At 42.5% G+C, this 24,773-nt stretch overlaps 1 annotated feature.

The window, feature by feature from the left end:
• Positions 17,144-17,438: an enhancer, noted in NCBI's record as "tiled region #2379; HepG2 Activating DNase matched - State 5:Enh". NCBI's record gives its function as "activates a minimal TATA promoter and a strong SV40 promoter by Sharpr-MPRA in HepG2 cells {active_cell/tissue: HepG2}" and the evidence as "EXISTENCE:reporter gene assay evidence [ECO:0000049][PMID:27701403]".

Raw genomic sequence — 24,773 nt, forward strand, 5'->3', positions numbered from 1 at the left:
AAGTGGGAGGGGGAATGCCATCACCAGCATTATACCCTTTGGCATAAGAATGTTGGCCTGGAATCAACAAGTCCTGCAATTCCAATTAGGCAAAAGCGAAGGAAAAGTCAAGAAAAACAGAATCAAGCTCACAGTGACCCTGGCACAGGTTTGGTCAGCCCCACCGTGAACGAATCACTATCACAGAGGCATGTCCCCAATCAGTGATCCTTTCTCATGGCATGTCTGGGCATTATGACACCAAAGCCTCTCAGAATGTCCTCCCTAAGACCCTGGCTGGGAGGGAAGCTAGGAGCAGCACCCCTATACAGAGTTTTGTGGGTTTTACCCTGAATAGGCCAGGGCAATGGCCAGTGGAGACTGAAACCCATTCCACAGTCCAGCACTCCCTTATTCAAGCCAGACGAAGGGGCACCTTTTTGTAATTCACACAAATTCACCATATGTGCCAGTGGCTGCCCTGGCTAAGAGGCTGTCCACCTACCCATGAAAGACTGTTTTTTCTGATCTTTGACAACATCAAATCATCCTTATAATCATGGCCTGATGTATCTGTGGTTCTAATACCCTTGAGCACAAGCTCACTGAGGACAGTGATCGTGCCTCAAACTTGCAATCCCCATAGCATGCGGCACCATGGCCTCTATGTAGCAGATACAGCGTAAATGTTTACTAGTCAATTACAAGACTCTGAAGCCATGAGATTCAGCACGGACACATTTCCCATCTTTTTCTTCCTTAATGGTTTCTCATTTTATCTTCCCTTTTACTTGCCTTACCTCTTTCTTGCTTTCCCCACAAGTTTTTTCTGCAGTGCTTCAGTGTACTTCCGAGAGAAGCTTCATGTACATGTCACCCAGTGGCCTCTTAGGCAGTTCCAAAATCCAACCAATGAGAGCACAGGATCACAACTCCCTTCTCTTATATATTGCCTGGCCTCAGGAGGAAACTGAGGCCAAGCAAGATAAGTAACTGCCCGCCACCCATTGTTTGCATCAGTGTAGGAACAATCATTTTTTCAAGAAACATGTGTGAATACCTACCACATGTAAAGCTCTATGTTAGTTGCAGGGGTTACTACAGTGACTAAGCTGGAATTCCTGATATTAAGATGTTCATAGCTTAAGTAACAGACTGACATATACACCACTGTCTCCAGCACAATGAATATATGCTTTAATAGAAGATTAGGCAAAGTCCTCATAAGCCATGGGAAAGAAAGCAAGAGACAAAGGAAACCTCTTGAGAGAGGTGACATTTGAGCCAGGTATTGAAGGATGAATACGAGTTGACTAGAAAGAGAATGCTGGGGAGATACTCTATAAAATAAAAGGATGCACAGAAAGCAGCTAGTAAGCAGTGTGGTGGAATTCCAGAGAGCATATGGTTAAAAGGGAAGAGGTAGGGAACAAGCCTGGAGAGGTGGATTGCGAGGGATGTCTCATAAATGCCACACTAAGGAATCTGGATCTGAGTTTCATGTAGTCATTGGGGCCCATGTGACTACATTTAGTTTTGAAGGAGAAATGACACCTTTATTAGCCCCTAGAGCATTTTTCAATACTGAGACAAAAAGTAAAATTTATGAACGAGGAAAACCAAGGCACAAAGAAGGACCTATAAGGGCCCCAGAACTCACCACAGACACACAGCAGAGGCCTTCTCTTCATATCAAGGGTAAGGGTAGGTGAGAAAGGCTGCTTTGTCCCACTGAGATATGCCCGAGCACTCCACAGGATTCTGATCAGGGAAATGACTGTATCAAAAATTTTACAGAGAATAGGGACTACAGTACAGGCAAGGCCAATTGACCAACTAGGGATTCCTGAATTTTTTCGGTCAAGAAATACTAAGAAATTAAACTAAGATGTTTACAGAGGGTAAAAGAGGATTGGTCAATTCTAGGGAACATTTTGAAGATTGACTCAACTGATTGTATTTGAAGGAAATCAAAAAATACTAATTCAAAAATGAGTTTGAGATTTTCTAACTTGGTTAGCTAGGTGAATATGCCTTAATGGAGAGTAGAACATATAAAAAGAGAACAGGGTTAGGGGAAAAGATAGTTCAGTTTTGGAAATATCACTCTTGAAGGCCTGGAGCTGGAGTTCAACAGGGAAGTCTCAGCTAGAAATAATGATATAGATTTCATGAGGGAATGCATGGGTGGTAGCTGAAAGCATGGGAGTCGGTGGTCACTCGAGGGAAGAGTGGATTATAAGATGAGAAGGCTGGAGATGAGACTGGGAGCAAGCTACATGTAAGGACCAGGCAAGAGAAAGATACCAGAAAAGGGAATTGGGGAAGTAGCACCAGAGAAGTGAGTGGGGAACCCAAAGAGGGAACACCTCTGACACCAAGGAGAGGAGGGTCAAAGTCACTGCCACAGAGAGGTTGGATAAGAGGAAGACTAAGAAAAAACCCATGAATGTGGCCATTGGAAGATTGCCAATCACTGACACACAGTGAAAGGTACAGTGATGGAAGATGTCAGATCAAAAATTAGATTGTACTGCTTGGGTAGCAATTGAAGATGAGGAAGAATACAGACCATTCTTCATACACATTGGAGACTGGAATTCACTCAAAAGGCAGACAAGACTGAGGAAAACTTTACTTTTAGTAAAAGGAGACAATAATATTTACAAAGAATCAACACAAGAGAGGAAGAGGATGATTGATAGGTTAAGGATTCCAGAGGGCTTATGAAGTGATGTGACCAAGAGAAAAAATGGAAGAGTGTGAAATATCCTCCTTCTTAAGGCAAAGAGAATGAAAGAAGGTGATCAATGATTAGCATGTTTGGTGGTAGGATGGAGGAAAGTTGAGGGAATTCCAGTCTGTTGACCAGTATTTTTCATTGAAATAGGCAATGGCATCTTGTATATGTGGATGGACAGACAGATTGAGGACTGTGGTAAAGGCTAGAATGGCCACCTCTCATAGCACACAAAAGGAGTAAGGAGAGGTGAGTAAAATGTCAGGGTCAGGACTAGGGTGAGACAAGTGAGGCACCTAAGGCACAAAATTTAAGGAGCCGCTCATCCCCGGGGTCACGGGAATGCAAGGTTGGCACCAGGAGTGAGGGCCTCTTTAAATTCTAGGCACTTCAAATTGCACTCTAGGCAACTCCCTCACCCCACTCGCATCCTGGCCCTGGGATTACTCAGCAGCTCCAGCCATTTAGGTGAGGTTGGAAATCATCGATTTTTAATAAAGTAGATCATCGTTTAGAAAATTTTCTTCCATAGCGCTTAGAAGCTCAGGACAAGCAATGAAAAGCAAGAGGGGAAGAGAGAGAAGGAGGGGGGATACTGGGAGTGGGGAGAAAGAGAGAGAGAGAGTTAGTTCATTAGCCAGACATTGGAGAAACAGATAAAACAAGAAGTCAAAAGAGCGAGAAAACTGAATGCTTGTGAGAGTAGAGTTGAAATGGTTGCTCACACAAGGTAGGAAGAGGAATGAAGCTAGGAGGGAGTGGTATACTGCTAACATAAGGAAAGGTCAAGAGACAGGGAGTCCCAAGGAGACCAAAGAACATATTTCAAGGGCATGAAAGAGTGAGGACTGATAGAAGGATCAGAGGTTGTGGTCAGAAAGGAGAATTTCAGAGTTCAGGATTTCAAAAATGGAGCAACTCCAGTTGATGACAAGGTCTAGTAGTTGCTATGGGAGCAGTTGCTAAAGTGGAATTGAGTGGAGGTTGTTGGAGAAAGAGGGTGTCAGAAGCTGAGCCTGAAGCATTGGATGGGTTCCTCCATGGGACATGGCTGCAGTAGTTGGAGGGAAAAGAAACCCCTCTGCTGTCCAACTACTTTTAACATAACTAGCAGGGGATAAGAACAATTCTTCACATACATCCATCTGCCCTTCTTTTGCCCAAATCAAAATCATACTGTGATATCCTGGAGTGGTTTTACTAGCATAAAGTACAGTAGAGTCCTAGTCTCATACTGTTGTGTGTCTTTCTAGATCAGCTCTTCTAGATTATGCTTTTACTGTATATCACTACATATCTTGAGATAATATATGACTCAAAGCTTATATTAATCCATGTAGTCAGATGGGGTCATTAAGTGCTACTGTAATATCACCAAGAACGAAGTTTCTTCCACCTCCCTCATCTAAAATCTTTCTTTCAACGCTGTGGAAAAGGTTGTATATGGAAGAGGGAGATTTCTATTCCTTATATTTCCTTCTCCACTATGTGAAAAAGTTGTGTTTTTCCCCATCCTGAGCCCTATTTCCTATCAATGCTTCAGTTCACATTGAACTTGCTTCATGAATAAAGAAAACCATCTGGTCTAGCAGGACTTAACTTTTAAAAAGATAACAGGTCAAGTCTAGCCATTTTTATTGGAACTAAAACAAAGTCCAGGATTTAAAGACCAAAAGACCCTGGGTCTCAAGTAAGCACACTTGACCTGAGAGTTTGGATAAAAGGTCATTTTCATATGATGATGACCCAGCTGACGCTAATAAACACTTTTATGAGACTCTGTCCATTAAAGAGCCTGTCCCAGGGCTGACCCTAGTCATTCTGGCCACCCTGTTTTAGGTGGAAGTTTAAGAGCATCTCAAAAATCTGTGTCTATAGACTGGCCAAGACTCTTCACATAAAAGAAAAGCAAGAGTCAAAAAGCACCACCAAACAACACTGGAGAGCCCAAGCATGCAGCTACCTCCACAGGCACTGAGGATACAATTTGCCCCAATCTCTACTATTTAAGTATTTACAGACATTTTATAATTATGACTATATTGGTATAAGCTTGCTTGGCTCTCTCTCCCTTCATATATAAAACTTTAAGAATGTTTCAAGCAAATATCAACATTTTGGGGAGTATGAATAAAGGAAGCATATCTTTGTAATATTAGGGAAATCTATCACAGTTTTAAAAATGATAGACATCAGGCCTTCCAAGAATAATGGCATTTAAGAAACCCTTTAGGACCCCATCTCTGAGCCTAGTTTCTTTCTACTGCATTTCCCAAAGAGAAATACAAGAATCCCTCCTTTGCACCCAAACAGCTTCTGTGCTTTAAGTACCAGATCAAATGCTACCTCCTCCAGGAGGCCTTCCCCACATATTCTAAGCTCTTGACACTTCTCCTTTCTGAAGGAAAGACTTTGCATGATTTAGAGACTCATGTCTGAAATAAGCAGCATTTATTCAGACTGTTAACATATCTACGTAAATAAATTAGCATTTCCTACATCCAGTGTAGACTAACCAGGTATGAATAATAAGTAAAAAGAATAGAGAAGAAAAAGAATGAAAGCTTTTTATAATTCTTTGAGCTACGAGAACCTAAACTTCCTTTTTTATTTTAACTAAAATAGTAGTCACTCTAACATTTGATTATATACTCTTTTGTATGGCACTGACCTATATTAATCTTGAGCGAGGGAACATCATACGCCTCTTTATATGACCAATAAGACATAGTTATGTACACAAAAGTTATATTTTTCAGAAATGAAAAGTCACACCCAGTACCTAGATCTTGGTTTCTAACAACATTGTCCAATAAAAGCAACCAGGGCTCCTTGGAGAAATGGCCAATTCTAAGGCTAGGGCAGAAAATATACATAATGAGCCCAAAGCATCGCGCAGTACAGAAAGTAAGGAAGTGCTCGCAAAACAAAAGGATGGGGACATGTCAAAGGGACCCAGAAGCCAACTTGAAAGAGCTCCCTGTGGCCAAAACTGAAATAATTTGAGGAGCAAAATAAATAGCTAAGTATCAGATTATAATCCAAAATATAAAATGAATATCCACAAGTCCACTTTGGTATAAATAAATGACTGAATAAATAGATGGGGAGAAGAGACAATCTCCCAGAAGTATTTCAATAATTCATGTAGATACTCCCCTACCAGGAGGTGGAGATTAACTCCCCTGACCACCCTCCCCACCAACTTTGAGTGTGGACTGCACTTAGTGACTTGCTTCCAAAGAGCAGTGTATGGAAGAGGAGAAGAGGCTTTACAGTCCAGAGATCTGGCAAACAATACCTTAACCAGCTGACCAAGGTTAACATCATCAGTTGACAGCATGTACCCTTGATATGAGGCAATGAAAAGGTCACTTTACTTCTGTGATCTTCCTCCTAAAAACATTACCCTAGTCCAACCATGAGTAAAGCATTAGGCAAACCCCAATTGAAAGACATTCTGCAAAATACTTGACAGGTATTTCTCCAAACTGTCAAGGTCATCAAAAACAAGGAAAATTTAAGATACTGTCGGGGGAGGAGCCAAGATGGCCGAATAGGAACAGCTCCGGTCTACAGCTCCCAGCGTGAGCGACGCAGAAGACGGGTGATTTCTGCATTTCCATCTGAGGTACCGGGTTCATCTCACTAGGGAGTGCCAGACAGTGGGCGCAGGCCAGTGTGTGCGCGCACCGTGCGCGAGCCGAAGCAGGGCGAGGCATTGCCTCACCTGGGAAGCGCAAGGGGTCAGGGAGTTCCCTTTCCGAGTCAAAGAAAGGGGTGACGGACAGCACCTGGAAAATCGGGTCACTCCCACCCGAATATTGCCCTTTTCAGACCGGCTTAAAAAACGGCGCACCAGGAGACTATATCCCACACCTGGCTCAGAGGGTCCTACACCCATGGAATCTCGCTGATTGCTAGCACAGCAGTCTGAGATCAAACTGCAAGGCGGCAACGAGGCTGGGGGAGGGGCGCCCGCCATTGCCCAGGCTTGCTTAGGTAAACAAAGCAGCCAGGAAGCTCGAACTGGGTGGAGCCCACCATAGCTCAAGGAGGCCTGCCTGCCTCTGTAGGCTCCACCTCTGGGGGCAGGGCACAGACAAACAAAAAGACAGCAGTAACCTCTGCAGACTTAAGTGTCCCTGTCTGACAGCTTTGAAGAGAGCAGTGGTTCTCCCAGCACGCAGCTGGAGATCTGAGAACGGGCAGACTGCATCCTCAAGTGGGTCCCTGACCCCTGACCCCCGAGCAGCCTAACTGGGAGGCACCCCCCAGCAGGGGCACACTGACACCTCACACGGGAGGGTATTCCAACAGACCTGCAGCTGAGGGTCCTGTCTGTTAGAAGGAAAACTAACAACCAGAAAGGACATCCACACCAAAATCCCATCTATACATCACCATCATCAAAGACCAAAAGTAGATAAAACCACAAAGATGGGGAAAAAACAGAACAGAAAAACTGGAAACTCTAAAACGCAGAGCGCCTCTCCTCCTCCAAAGGAACGCAGTTCCTCACCAGCAACGGAACAAAGCTGGATGGAGAATGATTTTGACGAGCTGAGAGAAGAAGGCTTCAGACGATCAAATTACTCTGAGCTACGGGAGGACATTCAAACCAAAGGCAAAGAAGTTGAAAACTTTGAAAAAAATTTAGAAGAATGTATAACTAGAATAACCAATACAGAGAAGTGCTTAAAGGAGCTGATGGAGCTGAAAACCAAGGCTCGAGAACTACGTGAAGAATGCAGAAGCCTCAGGAGCCGATGCGATCAACTGGAAGAAAGGGTATCAGCGATGGAAGATGAAATGAATGAAATGAAGCGAGAAGGGAAGTTTAGAGAAAAAAGAATAAAAAGAAATGAGCAAAGCCTCCAAGAAATATGGGACTATGTGAAAAGACCAAATCTACGTCTGATTGGTGTACCTGAAAGTGATATGGAGAATGGAACCAAGTTGGAAAACACTCTGCAGGATATTATCCAGGAGAACTTCCCCAATCTAGCAAGGCAGGCCAACGTTCAGATTCAGGAAATACAGAGAACACCACAAAGATACTCCTCGAGAAGAGCAACTCCAAGACACATAATTGTCAGATTCACCAAAGTTGAAATGAAGGAAAAATGTTAAGGGCAGCCAGAGAGAAAGGTCGGGTTACCCTCAAAGGAAAGCCCATCAGACTAACAGCGGATCTCTCAGCAGAAACCCTACAAGCCAGAAGAGAGTGGGGGCCAATATTCAACATTCTTAAAGAAAAGAATTTTCAACCCAGAATTTCATATCCAGCCAAACTAAGCTTCATAAGTGAAGGAGAAATAAAATACTTTATAGACAAGCAAATGCTGAGAGATTTTGTCACCACGAGGCCTGCCCTAAAAGAGCTCCTGAAGGAAGCGCTAAACATGGAAAGGAACAACCGGTACCAGCCGCTGCAAAATCATGCCAAAATGTAAAGACCATCGAGACTAGGAAGAAACTGCATCAACTAACGAGCAAAATCACCAGCTAACATCATAATGACAGGATCAAATTCACACATAACAATATTAACTTTAAATATAAATGGACTAAATTCTGCAATTAAAAGACACAGACTGGCAAGTTGGATAAAGAGTCAAGACCCATCAGTGTGCTGTATTCAGGAAACCCATCTCACGTGCAGAGACACACATAGGCTCAAAATAAAAGGATGGAGGAAGATCTACCAAGCCAATGGAAAACAAAAAAAGGCAGGGGTTGCAATCCTAGTCTCTGATAAAACAGACTTTAAACCAACAAAGATCAAAAGAGACAAAGAAGGCCATTACATAATGGTAAAGGGATCAATTCAACAAGAGGAGCTAACTATCCTAAATATTTATGCACCCAATACAGGAGCACCCAGATTCATAAAGCAAGTCCTGAGTGACCTACAAAGAGACTTAGACTCCCACACATTAATAATGGGAGACTTTAACACCCCACTGTCAACATTAGACAGATCAACGAGACAGAAAGTCAACAAGGATACCCAGGAATTGAACCCAGCTCTGCACCAAGCGGACCTAATAGACATCTACAGAACTCTCCACCCCAAATCAACAGAATATACATTTTTTTCAGCACCACACCACACCTATTCCAAAATTGACCACATAGTTGGAAGTAAAGCTCTCCTCAGCAAATGGAAAAGAACAGAAATTATAACAAACTATCTCTCAGACCACAGTGCAATCAAACTAGAACTCAGGATTAAGAATCTCACTCAAAGCCGCTCAACTACATGGAAACTGAACAACCTGCTCCTGAATGACTACTGGGTACATAATGAAATGAAGGCAGAAATAAAGATGTTCTTTGAAACCAACGAGAACAAAGACACCACATACGAGAATCTCTGGGACGCATTCAAAGCAGTGTGTAGAGGGAAATTTATAGCACTAAGTGCCTACAAGAGAAAGCAGGAAAGATCCAAAATTGACACCCTAACATCACAATTAAAAGAACTAGAAAAGCAAGAGCAAACACATTCAAAAGCTAGCAGAAGGCAAGAAATAACTAAAATCAGAGCAGAACTGAACGAAATAGAGACACAAAAAACCCTTCAAAAAATCAATGAATCCAGGAGCTGGTTTTTTGAAAGGATCAACAAAATTGATAGACCACTAGCAAGACTAATAAAGAAAAAAAGAGAGAAGAATCAAATAGACACAATAAAAAATGATAAAGGGGATATCACCACCGATCCCACAGAAATACAAACTACCATCAGAGAATACTACAAACACCTCTATGCAAATAAACTAGAAAATCTAGAAGAAATGGATACATTCCTCGACACATACACTCTCCCAAGACTAAACCAGGAAGAAGTTGAATCTCTGAATAGACCAATAACAGGATCTGAAATTGTGGCAATAATCAATAGTTTACCAACCAAAAAGAGTCCAGGACCAGATGGATTCACAGCCGAATTCTACCAGAGGTACAAGGAGGAACTGGTACCATTCCTTCCGAAACTATTCCAATCAATAGAAAAAGAGGGAATCCTCCCTAACTCATTTTATGAGGCCAGCATCATTCTGATACCAAAGCCGGGCAGAGACACAACCAAAAAAGAGAATTTTAGACCAATATCCTTGATGAACATTGATGCAAAAATCCTCAATAAAATACTGGCAAACCGAATCCAGCAGCACATCAAAAAGCTTATCCACCATGATCAAGTGGGCTTCATCCCTGGGATGCAAGGCTGGTTCAATATACGCAAATCAATAAATGTAATCCAGCATATAAACAGAGCCAAAGACAAAAACCACATGATTATCTCAATAGATGCAGAAAAAGCCTTTGACAAAATTCAACAACCCTTCATGCTAAAAACTCTCAATAAATTAGGTATTGATGGGACGTATTTCAAAATAATAAGAGCTATCTATGACAAACCCACAGCCAATATCAGACTGAATGGGCAAAAACTGGAAGCATTCCCTTTGAAAACTGGCACAAGACAGGGATGCCCTCTCTCACCGCTCCTATTCAACATAGTGTTGGAAGTTCTGGCCAGGGCAATCAGGCAGGAGAAGGAAATAAAGGGTATTCAATTAGGAAAAGAGGAAGTCAAATTGTCCCTGTTTGCAGACGACATGATTGTTTATCTAGAAAACCCCATCGTCTCAGCCCAAAATCTCCTTAAGCTGATAAGCAACTTCAGCAAAGTCTCAGGATACAAAATCAATGTATAAAAATCACAAGCATTCTTATACACCAACAACAGACAAACAGAGAGCCAAATCATGAGTGAACTCCCATTCACAATTGCTTCAAAGAGAATAAAATACCTAGGAATCCAACTTACAAGGGATGTGAAGGACCTCTTCAAGGAGAACTACAAACCACTGCTCAAGGAAATAAAAGAGGACACAAACAAATGGAAGAACATTCCATGCTCATGGGTAGGAAAAATCAATATCGTGAAAATGGCCATACTGCCCAAGGTAATTTACAGATTCAATGCCATCCCCATCAAGCTACCAATGACTTTCTTCACAGAATTGGAAAAAACTACTTTAAAGTTCATATGGAACCAAAAAAGAGCCCGCATCGCCAAGTCAATCCTAAGCCAAAAGAACAAAGCTGGAGGCATCACACTACCTGACTTCAAACTATACTACAAGGCTACAGTAACCAAAACAGCATGGTACTGGTACCAAAACAGAGATATAGATCAATGGAACAGAACAGAGCCCTCAGAAATAACGCCGCATATCTACAACTATCTGATCTTTGACAAACCTGAGAAAAACAAGCAATGGGGAAAGGATTCCCTATTTAATAAATGGTGCTGGGAAAACTGGCTAGCCATATGTAGAAAGCTGAAACTGGATCCCTTCCTTACACCTTATAGAAAAATCAATTCAAGATGGATTAAAGATTTAAACGTTAGACCTAAAACCATAAAAACCCTAGAAGAAAACCTAGGCATTACCATTCAGGACATAGGCACGGGCAAGGACTTCATGTCCAAAACACCAAAAGCAATGGCAACAAAAGCCAAAATTGACAAATGGGATCTAATTAAACTCAAGAGCTTCTGCACAGCAAAAGAAACTACCATCAGAGTGAACAGGCAACCTACAACATGGGAGAAAATTTTCGCAACCTACTCATCTGACAAAGGGCTAATATCCAGAATCTACAATGAACTCAAACAAATTTACAAGAAAAAAACAAACAACCCCATCAAAAAGTGGGCCAAGGACATGAACAGTCACTTCTCAAAAGAAGACATTTATGCAGCCAAAAAACACATGAAAAAATGCTCATCATCACTGGCCATCAGAGAAATGCAAATCAAAACCACTATGAGATATCATCTCACACCAGTTAGAATGGCAATCATTAAAAAGTCAGGAAACAACAGGTGCTGGAGAGGATGTGGAGAAATAGGAACACTTTTACACTGTTGGTGGGACTGTAAACTAGTTCAACCATTGTGGAAGTCAGTGTGGCGATTCCTCAGGGACCTAGAACTAGAAATACCATTTGACCCAGCCATCCCATTACTGGGTATATACCCAAATGACTATAAATCATGCTGCTATAAAGACACATGCACATGTATGTTTATTGCGGCATTATTCACAATAGCAAAGACTTGGAACCAAGCCAAATATCCAACAATGATAGACTGGATTAAGAAAATGTGGCACATATACACCATGGGATACTATGCAGCCATAAAAAATGATGAGTTCATGTCCTTTGTAGGGACATGGATGAAATTGGAAACCATCATTGTCAGTAAACTATCGCAAGAACAAAAAACCAAACACCGCATATTCTCACTCATAGGTGGGAATTGAACAATGAGATCACATGGACACAGGAAGGGGAATATCACACTCTGGGGACTGTGGTGGGGTTGGGGGAGGGGGGAGGGATAGCATTGGGAGATATACCTAATGCTAGATGACACGTTAGTGGGTGCAGCGCACCAGCATGGCACATGTATACATATGTAACTAACCTGCACAATGTGCACATGTACCCTAAAACTTAAAGTATAATTAAAAAAAATAAAAAAGATACTGTCACAGACCAGAGGAGGTTAAGGAGACACAACAACTAAATGGTATCTCGGGTAGGACTCTGAAACAGATAAAGGACAATGTGGAAAACTATTGAAATCTGAATAAAAGGTAAACTTTATTTGATAATAGTAATGTATCAATGTTGGTTCCTTATGACATATGTATCATAAGAATGTAAGATGTCATTCATAGGAGAACTGAGTGAGGGACATACTGGGAAGCTCTATACTGTCTTTCCAATATTTCTATATTTGTAAAGCTATTCTAAAGTGAAAAGTTCATTTTTAAATGGAGAAAATGAAAAACTACCTGGTCTGGAATGTTATAACTAGAAGGAATCTTTAGAGACCACCTAAACAAACCCTTTGTCATCTGTGGAAACCAAGGCCCAGAGTGGCTCAGTGTTATGCTCAAAGTTACACAGTGAGGAGAAGAACTAGAACTGAAGCCAGGGTCTCTTCCACCTCAGTGCGAGCTGTGCCCTGTTGCAGCATGCTAAGAATGGAGGGATGAGAACCCTCCAAATAGAAGTTGAATGTTAGCTTTGGAAGACAACGCTGCCCCTTGAATCAAATGGTCTGTCTTTTAGGGTAGGACCATGAGGAGGAAGACCCAGTCCCACACACTGCCTGGCAAGGTGGAGAGTCATCACAGGCAGAGGCAGGAGGCTCTACCATGGCCCCTTGGGCAGAAGTGGTCTGAATTTTTCATTAGCTTCAGAGGCTAAAAGCATCTTATTTTGCTTGTTGTGCCTGTTTTCCTCTGGGGGAAAAAAATAGAACCTTGGTTCAAGAATTAGTTGGGAGCCAGCAAAAATGAATAGTGATGAGGCTATTTCTATCAAAATAGCTTCATTACCATGCCACTGTCTGATAAAACCAAATGTTCAACTCTCTCTAACAAGAAAGTTGTTAAAGGCAGCGTCCTTCCACCTTTTGGCATGAAAGAATCTATAGCTTAAATATTTGAAAGATCTCCCCATTGACACACACCCATTTCTGATTGAACCAAATTTGGGTACACATTTTCTCCAGTACAATTTTAAATAATCTAAGAAGATAATAAAATATCACTAGTTTGGGGCTTTTTTAAATGCTTGGTTTTATCTTTAAAAAAAAAAGCATACACACTTAAGAATGCTATATAAGAATGATTTGCCTTAATTCTGGAGGGGAAAATACTTTTTAAAACTCAGAAAGCTAATGCGCTTGGCCATAGGTCAGGCTTCAGGAATTGTGTAAAATTATTCAAATACTCCCTGATGTTTTTCATCCACAAGACAATAGAGACTGTTCATTAAATGTGGTAGGGGGAGAGTCTGTCAGCTGAACACTTCTGCCATCTTGATGTATCCCAGATCCAAAATAAAATGAGAATCTGTTTTTCTATCTCCAACAGAGGAGAGGTGGTCAGATCTCTAGTATCCCCAGAACGGGAACTAGAATTCACATTTGACAAGACTAAATTCCCATGACAGGAGCCAGTTTCTGTGCAATCGGGAGTTCATCTGTCATTCTTCCTCTGCCCTTCCTCATTGTAACCTGTGATCAAGAAAGTGTAGAAGGAAATAACTACCCAAATGAAACAATATCTCACAAACCATAGGAGCTAGACTCCAAACCAAAGTCCTCCAGTGGATCATTATCATTTTAGCAGGATAGTTTGTTTCCTCCAAGAAAGAAATGAATGGGCAAAACTCCAGATTGGAAAGTCATGAGTCACTCATCCTCTATTTCCACCTGCCCCTTCCCCTTGCAGAGGAGTCTCAGAAGTTTATCACTCAGCCCGAGTCAGAGCAGTCCATCTGTCTGCTTGGTCAATCCAGGAACAGTTAACCTCGATGATTATTTTCCACTCAGTAGTAAAACCTTTCCCTTCACACAGCTTGAGAGTTCTGACTCTTCACTTTCACTCACTCTGCCAGCCATTTAAGCCAGAAACTCCAGGCAGGCTGAGTGGAAGACATCATTTGTAAACTCTGCTTGCCAAGGCAGGAGGTCTAGGGGGCTCTCCGAACCACTGCAATAGAGCCTTTTAACACGGAACAGTGCAAATTGTCCACCAGGGATGACTTGAAATATATCTTCAATGCACAGTGCCTGGTGCCTCCAACCTGGCTCCAGCTGAGTTTCTACCACTTACGAAGGACTCTTACAAAACAGCCCTATGGATCCTCTCTGGCTGTAGTAAAAGAGGCAGCTTCAAATAAATTAGGGAAAATTCAAGATGGGAGACAAAAGAATGGGAATGTTCTTGTAAAAATTTGAGTCACTTGTCCCTGAACAAGATACTGTTATCTTGCTAAATACACGCACACACACACACACATACACACACACACAGAGGCAGCTACTGAAAGCAAATCCACTTGTTAATGTTCAACTCTCCTATCTGGCTACGGAATAGGCTAGCAATAAAGGGCAGTTAGATCAGTTCTTTTAGGCGCACACACCACTGATAAATCAGAAACAATAAAGCTGGAGACAGGCTTGCTGGGCCCCAGCTGGTATTGCTTATATCTGTCCTAAGCAATCAGGAATCATGGAGAAACTTCTTTTTGGAACGCCTAACCGCAAGACTTCACAGTGACCGCCTCAATCCCACATGCCCATGTGCTGAAGGGGGTTCTGGGGAGTGAATACCTTTATTCTTTCTGACAAGATCAATCAGTCTCTCTGGAATCTCCCCATGGCCCACTTCTCACTGGCCAGCTCCCTTCCTCTATCCCACCCCCACATCTAAGAAAAAAACATTAAAACAATGAGGCATTGCCTTTTTCCTTTTCTTTTGCCAGAGGCTAGCCAAACTCTGCTACACTCTGACGCAAAGCACACCTTAAGGAGTCATCTCCAAGAGGGTAAAGGGAGGCATTGTACCCTAAAATCCAGAGAAGTCAAAATCGCACACAGCACACCCGAGTCCTCACACAATAGAGTCTGTACTTCCACCAGGCCAATTAACTGGATTTCTACCTGAAATCTCTCCCACATCAAACTAAAAATCCTGGCAAGGTACAGGGGTTCAGTGACACAAGCTCATTTTCCCACTGCAGGCCCAAAAAGCATGGTGGTTCTCTGGCCAGAAACAAGCCCTCCCTCCCACAGCATCATTTCTCTCACACCTGTTCACACACAGAAACATGGGCCCAGCCTGTCCCAGGCTAGAAGCACACTCTGGGCACATCCCAGCCTTTGCAAATAGACTGGCTTCCTCTCCATCCTCTCATTGTGGGGGCCACAAATAGAATCTCATTTTCATTAATTACTGCAGCCTCTACCTATTGTCAGTCATCAGAACCTGCCATATGGTTACCATCAGGTGCGCTCAAGTTCCTATCATGTGGCATTCCCGGATGCCCTAAATAGATATTGCAGAATCTGCTTGTGTTTTTACAGGGCCATTTATATTTCAAAGGAGCTCATTCTGCTTCAAGAGGTTGCTAAAGGGGGCCTTTCTGTTCAGCACTGCACTCTATTGAAAACCCCATGCTTCCTATTGAACATTGCATCCCTTCTCTCAAACACCACTGCCATAATGGGGAGCATCCTGTAGACTATTGCCTTTGAGAAAGACAGTCTAGGGGTTTTTTTTTTCTATCATTTTAGGCAGGGGAAGCATGGGAGAGGATGCCAGGAGGATTGGTGAAAGGGTATATCAACTCTCAGTCAAAACTAGATTCATGAAGAACAAGAATAACTCAGGAGAGCCTCAAAGAAATCACGTCCATAAACTATGTCATGTCTTACATAACTATGAAGAAATCCCTTTAAATATTTTTATATCTGCCACTGACCAAAATACAAATCCCTCCCATCTTTGTGCTTTTGGGAATACTGTAAGAAGAAGGACACCTCATGAGAAACCTCCAAGCCATATAATATGCTTATAGAACAACCCAGTCCATCCTGCTCTCCATGATTTCATCAGCTGTCTAGACCTTGAGTGTGTCCGTTCATTTTCCGTCACCACAGGTGTAATCATTGGAAAATGCCCCTCTGAATCCTGACACTCTGAAGGAGGTATAGCGTCATGTGGCCTGGGTAGGCAAAGCCCTGTATTAAATTCTGAAACAAACTTGGCATCTGATTGGATGTGATCTTCTATCCGCAGTTGCAGTGGCTTTTGAGTTACAGGCCATATTTCTAGTGGTTGCATACAGCCTGCAGGACTGGATTGATGCCCAACTTTAGAGTTTTGTGATGACATTACCATCAGTGGGACATTTCTAGAAAATTTATCCAACATATAATTTTGTAAGTTGGGTTTACATAGACATGTGTTTGTTGTCTATGTCTATGCTAAACATATAAACACTTCCTATTTCTGGGTTTAACCTGAAACTCACACCTCTTAGGACTTGGTGGCGCTGGAGAATAAACCATTAGCTCTACACAGAGACCCAGAAGTATACACACACATACATATGTACATACATACACATATACATGCTTCCTCGCAGTGATTAGTAGAGAGAATTAAGATGAAGTGCAGAATGCTGGCTTAAATTCCACAGTCAGTACAGTTGTAAAATATTCACTGTCTTACCCAAGGTGATTCTCTGTTCTAAATTATTTCCTATTAGCCAAAGATTTTCAGCATTGCCCAGTAGCTTCCCAGGATGGACTAAATTATATTTTTCCAGCCTGAGAACAGAAGAGTCTTTGGAACAAGGCACTTTCTGTTTACCCATAGGCATAACCTTCTTTAAAAAAGCGAGTGTGACACAGGCATGCTATATTTGCTTGCCCTCTTTGTAGACAAACTTGTGGGTGACAAGGGGTGGCCACATCTCTGGCAGACAGGTATCAAATGCACTCAGTAATTTATCTGCTCTTGGGAGGGGAAGCACTCACATATACAACAGTAGTGTCCAAGCTGGTCACTGTGGCCTCACAGCCATTTCATAAATAGAAACCAACTCCATTCAAGGAAAAATGAGTCACCAGAACAAAAGAGCAGGTCTGTAACCAGGGCTCAAGGTCACATTTCTACAAACACCTGCTTGTTCTCAGATAACACCTGCTCATACTCTCAAACAAAAAAGGGCAGGGCTCTGTCGATAAAGTCTTCTGCCCTAGGCTCTGAAGGGAGTTGCAACCCTCCTGGTATGGTTAAAGGACAGATAATAGGTAGAGCTGACTTTCCTCTCTGCTTGAGCCCCATGTGGAGATTCTTTGGCATGCGGTCAGGGCAGCTTTTAGGCGCCCCACAGCCTGTGCTAAGATCTTGCGTTCAGTATGACCAGAGCAAGTACCCAAAGCGTATGTCATGTCAACTGGGTAGAATAAGTCCCTAGTTGAGGCAATATCCGGAGAAAATTACCATTAAATATATAGGACGCTTTTTCTCTGTTATTCTCACACAACAAACCGCAGTTACTATAGCTTTCAAATTCAAATTAGAATTCTAAAGGCTTTCGATGAAGAGAGTGTGGGTTAAAAGAGGAGACCAAAAAAGGAGTCTCTAAGTCTCTCACCTTGTATATTTTATATACTGGGCTTCTGAACATGACTTCATTCTTACCAAAGTGAGGTAAAGATGGTATTTGCTACTGCTCCCATTGACAGGTAAAATCTAGTTCCCCTCCCCTTGAAGTTGGTGGAATCTGTGGTGGACCTGTGGTGAGCAGTAGAATACAGCAGAAGTGACACTGTGCCAGTTTTCCAGGACCCGGTCTTAAGAGATTGGAAATTTTCATTTCCTCTTGTACAGAAACTTGCTTCTTGAGTTTCAAGTCAGGCTTGGACTAGAGCATTGCCTGCTGCCCCTGGTGTGGCTAATCCTATGTGGGCAACAACATTTCTCAAAGCCAAGACTGCAAAAGACCACAGCTACAATAAAGGAGGTCTGTGATATTAGAAACCCTTCAGAGTGCTCTAAAAGCAGAGCTCACCAAGAGTCTAAGACTTTAACCACAAGACATGGCATATCTACACTTGACAGCATGCCTATATTGTTCTTGAGCTGATTTCCATATGATTATTGGATGAGATAAACTAGACCACAATGAGGGGCTGAACTGAGTGACACAGATCATTAGGAAGCTTGGGAAAGGGTGGAGTCCCATGGCTTGCAGTGCGGATGGGTTTCTTAGAGGAGTGGAATATGTATGTGGTCCTGACTAGGGGTAGGCAAGACAGAGATGAGTGAGGATAATAATATCAACCAAGACATGTCACTAAGAGCAGACGTGGCCTGTCTTATCCTGTTCTCCTCTCACATTCTTGATAAACAACCCTAAGACAGGACCAACTAGCTAGTAGGTATGCAAGAAATGTGTTGAATTTGGACTTGGAATTGAATTAAAGTGAATTGGAATTGACCCCTACTCAATTTAAAAATAAGCTTGAAATCCTGACCACAATTAAACGGGAAACCAGAGCTTCCTGCCAGTCCAGGAGTTTGTTCCTTAAATGCAAGTGGCAGCCTTCAGCCTGCCTTCAGTTACTTTTATTGGGGCAAATCCAAGTTGATTCATGTGAAGTTAGTGTCAGGCTTAGGCCTACCTGGGGACATGGGGGAAGAATTCTGGGCATTCTCTTTTCCTCCCCAGGTCGAGAAACTTCCACCCCTAAGGCTACCTTCTCTGTCTAGATCCATATGCGTTCTCACCCACTTCCCCAGGGATTGTATTTGCTCCATTCACAACTTTATTCTCACATCTAATTTGATCCTCTTTCTTCTTTTTCTTCCAGGTCTAGGCTGGAGTTCACCTTCAATAGTATAGAGCAGAGAAAAGGAGATCTAACCCAGCGTTTAGAAGCCTGCCTCACCCTTGTTCTTCCCCATCCTCTTCTAGGTGCCACCGCCTCCCATGTGAGGAAGTAAAGGAGGAAAAGGATAGCCAGATTCCTATGTGGCTGAAGACCTTACCATAGTCTTCTTACTGTTCACAACTGTTATTCTAACTAATCGTCCCTAGGCTCACTAATATCAGGTGGGAGCATCAACCTGCCCTGTTGACAGGTCATGACCCCCAAACAGCTTCCCTGGGGGCTACAGCCAGGTAATTTGGAGCGTATTTTCTGACTAACGTCAACCACATTCCTTAGCTGCAGTAGTGTCTGGAAGTCAGTGCCTCCGCTGTCATCAACTGTCCGTGGACTGCAGGAAGACCTACAGGCAAAGGCAGGATCTGTCTTCTGTACTTCTCAGAGATTGACATGGGGACTTCATGCACACTACCCTTCCCCACAGCTGTCTCTGATCTACTGGTCCTTACATGGAGGAGGTGGGGTGGTTAGGCTGGTTCTCTGAGCTGACACCAACCCGGAAGCCCTGTAGAGAAGTGAGTGTCCTGAATGCATTTTGTCCTCAGCCTTAAGCCTCAGACACAACTAATGACCACAGGGCCCATCAGTCATTTTTTGACATTTGTTTTACATATTGAGCTTCCAAAATTTTTTCTGAAAAATTCCTCTCTTAAAAGGTCTAAAAACCACTGCTCTCCACCATCAAGCCCAGCCCCAATTCTATGGCTCTTGTGTTCTTTCTAACAGTTTCAGTTGTTTAAGTTGTACTTCCTCATGTGTTAGGGAAGGGCCTTGTCTTCCTCCTCCCTGCTCCAGATCTTGCCCCTTGCACATGCTTGGCACGCCAGTGCCCAGGGATGCCCATGGGTGGCCATTCTGCTCACCGTCCAGGTTCTACCCTGACTACTTGCTATGTGAATCGCAGCAGGGTCTTGCTAACAGCATATTGGAAATGCAGCTTTCCTGGCCCACATGGACAGGTTTTTTGTCTATTTTCGTCCTTTCCCTGCTCTGTTTAAATATGGTGTCTGTGACTGAGTTTCGTGTTCCGGAGGCACGCGGTCCAGAGAGAAAGAGCCAGAGTTGCTTCTCTGCCTTGGCGCTCAGGAAAGAGCAAATGGGGCTGCCACCTGCCCGGTCTGGGGATGGTTCCAGAATGGCTCAGGTTATTCACAGCACAGATCCACCCGGGGGTAAAAATACCATCCCAGAAGGACTCTCCTTCTAGCCACAAAAATACCTATATGGGTATAAAGACATACTCAAAAAATGACACAAGGTTTGGGAGAAATCATCTCCTTGGAAAAGAACTAAAGTAATTAGTACTGGCCTTACAAAAGAGAAGATAAAGAGATCCAGGAGGAAAGAATGAGGGCAGTTCAAGAAGGGTATAAACTTAAGCAAGAGAAATATTGTTTAGACTATAAGAAGAACTCCCTGACCATGAGACTTGGGAAGACATTTACAAGGTGTCACCTTTGGAGATGTAAAAGATAAGATCAGCTCTCCCCTGTAAGGGATCAAAAGGAGACTGGATCCAAAGCAAAGGGTTAAGCCAGGTTATTGTACAAAGTTCCCACTGGCCTTGGCCATCTACAATAAATTTTTGAGGATCGACTTCCTCAGTAGAAGAGCTTGTCCTTTTCAAGCCCCTTGTCCATATGTCTCCTTTTGAGTTTTATCTTTCCATTACAATACTATTTACACAATCTCTGTGTGACACATGAGACTCGGGGGTGCATGAAATGAAGAGATAGACTCACCTTTATAGAAGGTCCAAATTTCGACACATTCCTTCTGGGTTTCTGGGATTCCCTTCCCTGGACCCGGCTCTCACAAAGATTTCTCCACCTTATGCTTCACCACTGGCATCCTACACCCTCCTCTCTACTTTTCTCTACCTGCCTTAGAACCAGTCTCACACTTTCTGAGCTTGTCTCATTCAACCACTTGCATGTCATGAGAAGTAGTATTGCCACATTTCACACAACAACTTTGGAAGTGGATATTCCCAAGAATTTGTTACAAATTCTATTCTGCCTTTGACTTGGCCTTATCCCTAGGGACTAAGATGCACCCAGAGAATCTGTCCTTAAGCGCCAAAGAAGGAGTCATTACCAATATGGCTGTATTTCTAATTGGCTTCTTCAGGGTCCTGGCCCTGTAGACATTGATCCTGCATCTTTTACCAGCAGTATGTTTTCTTCAGCTCTGCAAAGTTATTCTGACTCTCAATGTAAATCCAGGGAGAAAAGAGGAAAAATAATTGTCCAAATTCTCAAGAAGGTATTAGAAAACAAATTGCTAAAATACAGAAAAAAATTGCTGTACCATTGGGTGGTTAATGTTTAAAATAAACTAAAGCATTTCCCTTCATGCCAGGCTGAGAAACAGAGTTCTGGCTCCTTCCCTCTGGACTGCATGCTTCAGGGACATGAAACACAATCCAGAAACCATATTTAAGCAAAGCATGAAAAGACTGAACATAGACAAACACCTGCCTTTGTAGAAAAGGAACATTTCATGGAGCGTGTAGAGTACAAACCTACTAATTAATGAGAAATGGCCTGATCACGCATTCCAAGGGTATTCATTTCTCAGGTTGGAGTTTTCTGATATTTTCATTTCCTTTGAATACAAGCTTGTCTCTTCATTAATGTTATACAATATTCAAATGCTGGCCAACAAAAAAAGGAACCACTTAAGACATTAAAACCTATTGTTGGAATTGTTCAGCCGGCAAACCCTCTCAAGCTCAAAAACATCCATGTTTCAAGAACACACTCTTGTAGCAGGTGACTGTGAGCTGCTGCCCATGATGAAGCAACAGCCCAAATGCAGGGGACAAGAAAGGAACAGTTCCAACTCCAAAGGATCAATACATGAAAATAGAGTCACGTGGCAAAATGCACTCAGTTCTGTTATTGCAGCAAGTTCTTTTTGTTCCATCTGAGGAATTAATTTGAGAATAAAGTATTTCAAATATCAAACTAACTAGAAACAGCTGTTGCTATTTCCTCTGCTTTGGAAGCCCCCACATAATTTCAGATCCACAATCAACACAAGGAAATTCTGTGGAAACATCCTAGGTCAATGTCCATGGACCTCAGAAAAGAAAAGCAGCAATAATAAAAATAATGAAAGCTAATAGTACCATGTTTGCTAAGAGCTAGGCACTGTCCTAAGTGCTTTATACTTGATTCTCATGAAATCTTGGTGATGTAGGTAGGATCATCATTCTCATCACCCAGACAAGGAGACAGGCTGCTTGTTTTGGCTGAAGAAAGATGTGGGTTCCCAGAGAGAAGCCATAGATCTTCCTACCTCCTGCAATACTAATAATAATAAACACTAAAATTTATTGAACCTCAAATGCGCCACACACCGTGCAGAATGCTTTAGCATTTTATCTCAGTCAATCCTCACAATAAACATAAGCTAGACATTTTCCCCATTTCACCTATTAGGCAACTGAGGCTTAGTGAGGTTAAAAAAAAAAAACATAGCCCAAAGTAACAAATCTAGAATGCAGTAGAGGTTGGATATGAATCCAGTCCATCTCATTTCAAAATCTTGGCTCCTAAATTCTACTCTATTCTCCCTGCTGGGTACTTCCCATTTCTAGGGCACTTACAGTTACCATCAAAACGTGGCCTCTTAGGTTATTTTCATCGAGTTTAAAAGTCCTTCCTGAGGCTGGAGACAGCCAAGCGGATTGCTCCCAGAGAGCCTGGTGGCACCGTTGCCATCCGTTGGCCTCAGCCACAGCTGTGGTTTCCAAAGGAAATAACTCATGCGGCCGTTAGTCGCACCTGTCACTCATTGGAGCCAGGACTTGCATCAGAACACTGGGGCCCCACAGGGAAGACAACAGCAGCTACGTCAAACTGATGGGCATCAACACATCATTATGGATGTGTGAGCCTGCTTCCCTCGATCAGTCCCACTGTGATCCATTCTCCCTGTTTCGGAAGGTCAGGGAGAACAGCACTAGACCATGTGCGTTCTGCATCTGTGGAGACAGCCTATCCCAATGCCCTGGGCAGGAAGAGGTATTGGAAAATCTACAGGTGTGGTCTAAATTAGGTGAAGCACCTTCAAGCTCCCCTTGATGAAAAAGGCAAGGAACTGAAAGACAATGCTAAAAGAAGTAACCCAAACAAGAAATGTCAACAAATGGCCTGTGAGAACTGGGGTCTTTCTAGCAGGCCCAGAAGGAGGAGAGGGCACATGGAACCTTCAGGCCCTGGTGAAGCGACAGGAATTAAATGAGGACACAAGGAAAGGAAAATCTTCAGGGTTGTTCATGATGGTGTCAAATTCAGAGAGATCTAGGATGAATAGTGTCAACTTGATTGAGTTGAATGCAATCCTGTAAACATTAATGGAGCATCAACTAAGCCTCTCCACCAAAATGTAAGGAATACATTTCAGAGTTATCGTACCTGCATCTTGACATACTCTTACTGAGGAGCCAAGCCATATGTGCTCATCGCCCTTAAATAACAAGAAAGCCTGGCGTGTGAGTAAGTGCTAGGATGAGTGGGGAGTTCCGTGAAAATCAGAGTATGGAGGTATGTGCGTGCTTAGGTGGGCAGAAAACTCTTTGTGAGTGAGGTAGGATTTGGTCTGGGGCCCAGAGCTGGTTCTGTAGAATTCTAGCACTCAAATCCTCTCTCCCTAGCCGCAGCCTCCAAATTTACCTGCAAAGGCATCTGAGAGAACCAACAGTCGTGCTCTAATCCTGAATTATTTCTGTTCTGTGACATGTGGTTTCCAACACTACCTTCATATGGATCTTTGAATCCCTCCCAGGACTCAGTCTTCCCCTGTGGATACTGAAAATCTTTAGTCCTGCACCCTACAAGCTCTATCAGCTGTTTCGTCATGCAGTAGTTTTCTGGGGGTCAGTACTCAGAAGAAGGGAGAAAAGGACTGAGTAATTGGGTTATCACGATGTCTTTTCAGTTGAAGAATTTTCCAAAAGTAAAGTAAAACTACATATTTTTTAAAGGAATGTCAATTTTTAATCTTTAAAATATAACCATGGAAATGGATTTGGCCAATGTAGCAATGCACAAATATCTTACCTACCTTTGTACTATTCAATCTATAGAGAGGACAGAGTAAATTTTAAATTTGTCATGTAAAAAGTAATGGCACAAGTGTCCCTGTAATCCAATATCTTCCCGTCATTGAGTCAAAACTACCCTCCATCATCCTTGATGAAGTTGAGAATGCATATTGCTAACAGATGAGAATGTCTAATGTCTTTAGAAATACTAGGTTAAGATGCCTTTGTCAATAATCTCTTCTTTGCTCTACACATTTAGATAGTACTCTCTCTCTACTAAATTGCCTGTCATAAATCCTGGAACTCAAAAACAGTCTAATGCATCCCATCCTAAAGGTTTTCTTCAGATGCTCTGAAGCCACCTGAGGACAGCAACACCCGCTGTGACTGAAAAATCCAATGCGTTTGTTTCTCCCATATGGCATTGAGGTTTCATTAAGCTCTCCTGAGCATCTGAGAATATTTTCCTTGGAAGACTGTGGTGTTTGGATCACTCAAGTAGAATATCAGCTCCCCAAACACAAACTCATCCTCAAAGTCTTCTCCTTTTGTGTCCTGTGGCACCAAGCACAGTGCCAGGCACACTAGAGGCATTGGATAAACATGTGTGCAACTAGGCAAATCAAAACAATGGCCAGAACAAAAATCATCAC

The sequence above is a fragment of the Homo sapiens genome, chromosome 2 (genome assembly GCF_000001405.40).
Source record: "Homo sapiens chromosome 2, GRCh38.p14 Primary Assembly".
NCBI lineage: Eukaryota > Metazoa > Chordata > Mammalia > Primates > Hominidae > Homo > Homo sapiens.